Genomic DNA, 8,184 nt, shown 5'->3' on the forward strand with positions numbered 1-8,184 from the left:
CTTGTGATATTCTGTTTTTCACTGTAGGCCTCAAGTGGCTCATAATGTATTGTTGTAAATTGTAAAAAAAAAAAAAAAAAAAAAAAAAAAAAAAGAGTGTTTTTAACTCTTGGGATGAATCCACACATTGAGAAGCATTTTCACAGAGAGCTTGTGTCTAGTGTTTATCATGGGATATTTGGTTTTTGACTATCAGCCTCAATGTGTGCTAAAATGTCCCTTCACATATTCTAAAAAAAAGGGTATTTCCAACCTGGTCAATCAAAACGCAGGTTACATTACAGAAGATGAATCCACACATCACAAAGCATTTTTACAGAGAGGTTGTTTCTAGTTTTTAATCATGGGATATTCAGTTTTTCACTATTGGCTTCAATGGGCTCAGAAATGTTCCTTTGTAGATCCTACAAAAATAAAGTTTCCCATTTGGTGAGTTAAAAAGCAGGTTCCATTAGGTGAGATGAATTCACATATTGTAATGCATTTTCACAGAGAGCTTATTTCTCATAAAAAATTGCAGGATAGTCAGTTTTTCACAATGGGCCACAATAATGTCATAAATATCCCTTCGTAGATACTACAAAAGGAGTGTTTACAACCTGCTGAATCAAAACACAACTTTTATTAAGTACAATAAATTCACACACTACAAAGCCATTTTCAACAGATAGCTTGTTTCTCGTTTTTAAGGTGGGATATTCAGTTTTTCACTATAGGTCCCAGTGGGCTCAGAAATGTCACTTCATAGATTCTACAAAAACAGTGTTTCCAATCTGGTGACTCAAAACACTGGTTCCATTCAGTAAGATTAATCCATATATCACAAAAGATTTTAACAGAGAGCTTGTTTCTAGTTGTTATCACAAAATATTCGGTTTTTCAATATAGGCTTCAAAGAGTTCAAAAATGTACGTTCTTAGATTCTACAAGAAGAGGGTTTCCTACCTGGTGAATCATTACATAGACTCAATTCAGTGAGATGAATCCACATATCACAAATCATTTTCACAGATAGATTGTTTCTAGTTTGTATCCAGGGTTTTTTGTTTTTTGTTTTTTTTTTACTGTAGGCCCCAATAGACTCAGAAATGTCTCTTCATAGGTTCTGCAGATGTTCCCAACCTATTCAATCAAAATGAAGCTTTAACTCTGTGAGGTGAATCTATTGGGGAACCTGCCCTGATAGGCACATAGGTTCTTTTCTATTTTCCCTAAGCTTCAGCCAGCTTGAGAAATAAAGGGACAAAGTACAAAAGAGAGAAACTTTAAACCTGGGCATCCAGGGGAGACAACACATGTGGGTAGGTTCCAGGATGCCCCACAAGCCGTAAAACCAGCAAATTTTTGTTAGGGAGTTTCAAAACGGGAGGGAGTATATGAATAGGTGTGGGTCACAGACACCAAGTACTTCACAAGGTAATAGAATATTACAAGGCAAATAAAGGCAGGGTGAGATCACAGGACCACAGGACCAGGGTGAAATTAAAATTGCTGATGAAGTTTCTGGCACCACTGTCATTGATAAGATCTTGTCAGGAGACAGGTTTTGAGAGCAACCGTTCTGACTAAAATTTATTAGGCAGGAATTTCCTCTTCCTAATAAGCCTGGGAGTGCTATGGGAGACTGGGTCTATTTCACCCCTGCAGTCTACAGACCATAAAAGACAGGCATTCCTGGGGGTCCGTCTATAGACCTATACCACCAGGCATGTATTCTCTTTCCCAGGGATGTTCTTTGCTGAGAAAAAGAATTCAGCAATATTTCTCCCATTTGCTTTTGAAAGAAGAGAAATGTGGCTCTGTTCCACCTGGCTCACCAGTGGTCAGATTTTAAGGTTATCTCTCTTATTCTCTGAACAATTGCTGTTATCCTGTTCTTTTTTCAAGGTGCCCAGATTTCATATTTGTTCAAACACACATGCTCTACAATTTGTGCAGTTAACGCAATTATCACATTGTTCTGAGGCAACATACATCTTCCTCAGCTGACAGGATTAAGAGATTAAAGTAAAGACAGGCATAGGAAATCACAAGGGTATTGATTGGGGAAATGATAAGTGTCCATGAAATCTTCACAATTTATGTTTAGAGATTGCAGTAAAGACAGGCATAAGAAATTTTAAAAGTATTAATTAGGTGAAATAATAAATGTCCATGAAATCTTCACAATCCACATTCTTCAGCCATGGCTTCAGCTGGTTCCTCCATTTGGGGTCCCTGACTTCCCACAACATCTCTCCCTTTCTTTTTATATAAATGTGCCATGGTGATGAAGGCTTGTTCGTTCTCTCAATTTTGATGCAGGATTCTTTGACTGGTCTGGCACACTAAAAACAAGCCGATTAAACAGAGAAACATAATTCCAAAATTTACTACAGTGGAGCCCCCAATAAACTTAATCCAAGTTGTGGGCTTTAATCCATAAAGATTTTCTGCCACCTGATCTAACACCTCAGCTCCAGGCAGAATGGATAAGTGAGCTTGAGAGGATTCAAAAATTTGTTTCTTTAATTTAGTTGTGTCCAATGATAAATTATCTTCCCTACCTAGAAGGTGTCCTTTGACCGTTTCCCATGAATGATCAGTCTCATTATAGGAATATGGGGTGATGCAGAAATCCAAAGTATTCCACTGGCACTGCATTTGCATGCAATGTTCGAAACTCACTACCCAATCTCCAAGCCAAATAACAGACTGTTTTAAATCATTAATTTGATTTGCCAATTTTTGATCAATGCCTTGTTAAGAATTCCACATTTGGGTGGAATTGGCTTGCCAATCATTAACAAAATAAGCCGTTTGAATGGATTGGTGTAATGCCATTCCGGCAGTGGTGGTCATTGCAGTGACTGTAATTAGGCCCATGATAACAGTGATCAAAGTGAAAACAAATCTCTTGGACCTTTTTAGAATTCGCTGTCGCACTTCATTAATTAAATGTATTGAGGGGGAGGATTCCCAAGGTCTAGGTAAAGTTACTGGAATCCAGATTCCTTCTTAAGATCGAACCAATATTATGCTTCTCTTGGAGTCAAAATGGGAGTTAATACAAAGGTATAGATGACAATTAATGCATTGGACAGTTTGATTATTCGTCCAAATTTTGATATTTCCTACTAACAGCATGTAAGGGGGCTTAACACAACTCTGTATGGGAATAGTCAGGTTGGAGGTAAGTAAAGCAGAATGTCTCGTTCTACGTTGATAAGGAGAGAGTGGGACAGTAGTGGGAAAAACAGTCAGAAGAGTTTTCCTTTCCCATACTTGCAGTCCAGACATGGCAATAGCCAATTTCCAAAGTTCTGGGTGTTCAGGCTCAGAATGGGGAGTATCATACGAGGCCTGGGTGGGGGATAATGCCTTTATCTTCCCATTTTAAGGGAAAGCATAAGCTGATCCTCCTATGCAAAGTAGAATGATGATTCTTGTTCTCCCAATAAGAAAAAAAATAAGTAGCCTCCAGGCATTCCCTTCCACCAGAGGAGCAATTGTTTTTTAAATAGCCCTTTGGTGCCCAGCCTATTATTAAACCATATGAGTCATTTTTTAATATTACTGCATGTGAGTTAACACAATCTTCCCAAATTAAAGTTTTAGATGGGCCCTCAAAATTTTTAGGGCACGATTTTCCTGCAGGTTTATATTGAAAGTATGGGGTATCTCCCATTATTCTTCCTTTCATTTGTTTTAAAGGAGAAAGAGAGAGGCCAGAGACCAAATGTCCTGTTTTATCTGTAGTTGATCTTTCCGGAAGATAAGCAGCCTAGACTTGAGTTTCCAGATGGATGCAACCAGGTGCATGTCTGAGGCACAGAGACGGGTATTTACAACCCATGGTAACATTAAATGCAGTGCCTTCTTCTCCTGGTTGAGCAGGGCAACGGTCATCTGTGGCTCCAGGCAGTCACACACTATCGTTAGTGTAGATTTGTGCAGGAGCATCTACCCTGGTGAGAGGTCGAATAAGTGGAGGAAGAGGCACATAAGCCCAATAAGAATAATTATGTGTAGCAGGTAAATCAGTGTGAGAGGAAACTGGTGAGACAGAAAGTATAAGGAGGAGAATCATTAAATAAAACCTAGTGTAAATGAGATTGAAGGCTGAAGGAGGAAGAGAAGAACAGAGGGATGTTATTTTCAGGCTAATAGAAATGGTGAGATTTTTAGGTTTGTAAGGAGAAAAAGAAAGGTAATCAGGAGAAGTGGGATTAGTTAGATGGGTCTCCATTGCCATCAGGGAGGATTGATTTAAATCCATTGTGATTTGGTGTGCCTTTTTCTGAGCAGTTGGCACAGATCTTACCACTTCTGAAGGTAGTCTCTGACACAGACGTCTTTTCTCTGTGGTTTTCATTGTCAGTGTTCACCCGAAGCTTGAATCTTCTGGTGGGTTCCCAGACAGGGGATTGATGATCTCCTGGTGAAACCAGGCATATCCTCTTCCCTACGTTATAATTGTGCCAGATTCCCAGGTATTGGCTTGGGAGTTTTTCCATAACACTGGTTTGCCTTCGTTTAAGGAAAATTTTTTGCCTGTATAATGGCGTTCAGCTGCAGTTAGAGTATTATCTTTAGAAACATTTAAAAAAATTAAAGTAAACAATGCCAAATGTAATTGGGAGTGGGGAGTAGTTAAATCATGTTTAGGTTGTTCAGACTGTTTGGACAATTGGGTTTTTAAAGTGTGATTGGCCCGTTCCACCACAGCCTGTCCCTGAGGATTGTAAGGGATTCCAGTAATATGGGAAATTCCCCACTGTTGCATAAATGAATCAAAAGCCTTACTAACATATCCAGGGACATTGTGTCTTTATTTGATATGGAAGCCCCATAACTGCAAAGCAAGAATACAGATTTTTTTTAACATAGGCCCTGCCTTCCCCTGTTTGGCAAGTAGCCCAGATAAAACCTGAGAAGGTATCTGCAGAGACATGCACATATGACAGTATGCCAAAGGAGCTAACATGAGTCACATCCATTTTCCATAAAGCATTAGGAGTTAGGCCTCTAGGATTAACACAAGGTTCCTGATTTGGAAGTACGAAGACCTGGCACTGAGAGCAGCCGTGAACAATAAACTTAGCCTGTTTCCAGGTAAGAGCAAATTTATCTTTTAATCCAGCGGCATTGACATGAGTGAGATTATGGAACTCCTGAGCTTCTTGGGTTGTAAAAGAGACCAAACAGTTGACTTTATGGTTACCAGCAGACATGGGTCCTGGTAAAGTGGTATGAGACCCAATATGTGTAATATAGAAAGGGTGTCTACGTTGGTGAACCACCTGTTGTAACCTTGAAAATAAAGAAGCCAATTCAGAATTATCAATGTGTTTGATAGCAGCAGTTTCTATATTTTTAGTGGCATGTACAACATAAGCAGAATCTGAGACAATATTTAAAGGTTTGAGGAAATCCTGTAAGGCAGTAATCACAGCAATTAACTCCACCTTTTGAGCAGAAGCATAAGAGGTAGAAATAAGTTTGTCTGTAGGACCTATGTAACCAGCATTGCCATTACTGGAGCCATCAGTGAACACTGTAATGGCCTCAGGAATGGGTTGATCTTTGGTTAATTGAGGAACCACCCAAGACGTCATTTATATAAAAATCAAACAATTTGTTTTTTGAATAATGATTGTCAATAACGCCAATAAAATCAGCCAAGTGAATTTGCCACAGTACAGAATGTTGAAAGGCAGATTGAACTTCAAGCCAATTTAAAGGAAGTACAATTACATTTGGATCAAATCTAGAAATTTGAAGTATTCTACACTGAGCCTGCCCAATTAATATGGCTATTTGGTCTACATAAACAAAGTTTTGGACATAGAATGAGGAAGGAAACGCCACTCCATTAAATCATTATGTTGAACTATTAGTCCAGTAGGGGAGTGTGATGAAGCAAAAAACAGAAACTGAAAAGGCTGAAACGGCTGTACTCTAGATAACTGGGAGGTCTGAATTCTTTCCTCTATGAATTCCAGTTCTAGTAAAGCCTCAGGGGTCAAAGTCCCGGGGCTGTGGAGATCGGAATCTCCCCACAGCATAGAGAACAAGTTACACAGCGCATAAGTTGGAATGCCTAAAGTAGGTTTTAAATAATTTACGTTACCCAAAAGGTTTTGAAAGTCATTTAAAGTGTTTAAAGAATCTCTCCTAATTTGAAATTTTTGAGGTTGAATACATTGTTTATCGATCACCATTCCTAAATATTGAACAGGAGTGATCTGTTGAATTTTATCCTGAGCGACGTGTAATCTAGCCTCTGTAACACAGTGGCTTAAAATGTGGTAACAGTCAATTAATTCTTTATCATTGGGGGCAGCAATTAAAATGTCATCAATATAATGAAGAATATACACCTCAGGAAATTGGGCTTGAACTGGTGAAAGCTCTTGTCCAACATAAAGCTGGCAGATTGTAGGGCTATTTAGCATTCCCTGAAGAAGTACTTTCCAACAATTATGAGCTGCAGGCTCCTGATTATTGATAGATGGTACAGTAAAAGCAAATTTTTCACAATCCGATTTATGTAAAGCAATATGAAAAAAAGCAATCTTTAAGATCAATAACTATGAGAGGCCAATTTTTAGGTATTAGAGCAGGGGCAGGCAAGCCAGGTTGGACGGCCCCCATAGGTTTAATTACAGTGTTAATGGCCCTTAAATCAGTTACCATCCGCCATTTGCCTGATTTCTTTTTTACTAGAAACACAGGAGAATTCCAAGGGGAAAGAGAAGGTTCCACATTTCCAAGTTGCAACTGCTCAGAAACCAATTGATTTAAATCTCCCAGTTTTTCTTTAGAAAGCGGCCACTGCTGAACCCAAACAGGTGTGTCAGATTTCCATTGCAAAGGAATAGGATCAGGAGGCGTGGCAGCAGCTGCCACTAAAAAGGATAACCTAAACCAGCCCTGTTTTCTTTTATAGTAACTGGGAGGGGTTTACTAATCCCCTCGTGCTGTGGTCTGAGACCGAGTCCAGGAACAAACCCCATATTTTCCATCATATGCTGACTGGGAGCATTATAAGAGTTACGTGGAATATTAATTTCAGCCCGCCATTGTGCCAGTAAATCTCTACCCCAAAGATCAATGGGAATTGGCATGATATAGGGCTGAATTTTACCCTTTTGACCATCAGGGCCAGTGCAAGGCAAAATAAATGTGCTCTCATAAACTTCCTTGGCCTTTCCAACACCTACTAGTCCCATGTTAGTGGGATGTTTAAGCCAAGAGGAAGGCCATAAACTAGAGGAAATAAGAGAAACATCACCACCAGTATCTACTAAGCCCTCAAACTTTCTTCCTTCAATGTGTATGGTGCAGGTGGGCTGTTGTTTAGCAATTACATTAATCCAATAAGCGGCCTTTTCACTGCCAGAGCCCATCCCAGGGCCATGTGTCTTATCTCTTTTGTTTAAAATGATATTAGGTAGTAAAAGCAATTGAGCAATTGACTCACCAGCCAGAATGGAAACAGGAACCTTGGCAGACACAATTAATTTAATCTCGTCAACGGAATCAGATTTAATGAGACCAGTTTGAATGGTGACTCCCTTAGCAGAGGTGGATGCTCTACCTAACACCCGGCCCACCGAACCTTGAGATAAAGGGCCAGTGACCCCCGTGGGGACAATCAAGGGCAAAGAATCAAGAAGTAAATTCAGAGGAATAGTACTACAGATATCAACCATCCCACCTCCTACTGTGGAGGTTGACAAGCATTGTAGTGAGACAGAAGAAGCTGGGACCCATTTGGTTTTGCTGTAGGTAGATTTGTTTGTGCTAGGGGTTGCATTGGGACTGCCTGAAGTGGAAACACAATGTTGGTCTTAGTTGGAAGTGTCCCGTTTGATGCTGGGACCTGGGACTAGCCCCACTCCCTATTTCCCTGTCACTGTGGTAGGGGGTTTCCATCTATATCATACTTAGAGTGGCAAATATTTGCCCAAAGTTTACCTTTGCGACAACGTGGGCAAACAGTAGGAGCAACATTTGGCCATGTTTGTTGAACTGGCTTGGCCTCTTGTAAGTTTTTAACAGTGCAATTTTTTCAAATATGACCAAGTTGGCCACAATTATAGCAGGCTCCAAGAGAAGAATTAATGGGACCAGTTTGGTTGGTGTCCTTCATGGCCCGTGCCCACAGAATAGCTTTGTGGGTGTCTGATCCAATGCCTT

The sequence above is a fragment of the Homo sapiens genome, chromosome 19, assembly GCF_000001405.40.
Source record: "Homo sapiens chromosome 19, GRCh38.p14 Primary Assembly".
Taxonomy (NCBI): domain Eukaryota; kingdom Metazoa; phylum Chordata; class Mammalia; order Primates; family Hominidae; genus Homo; species Homo sapiens.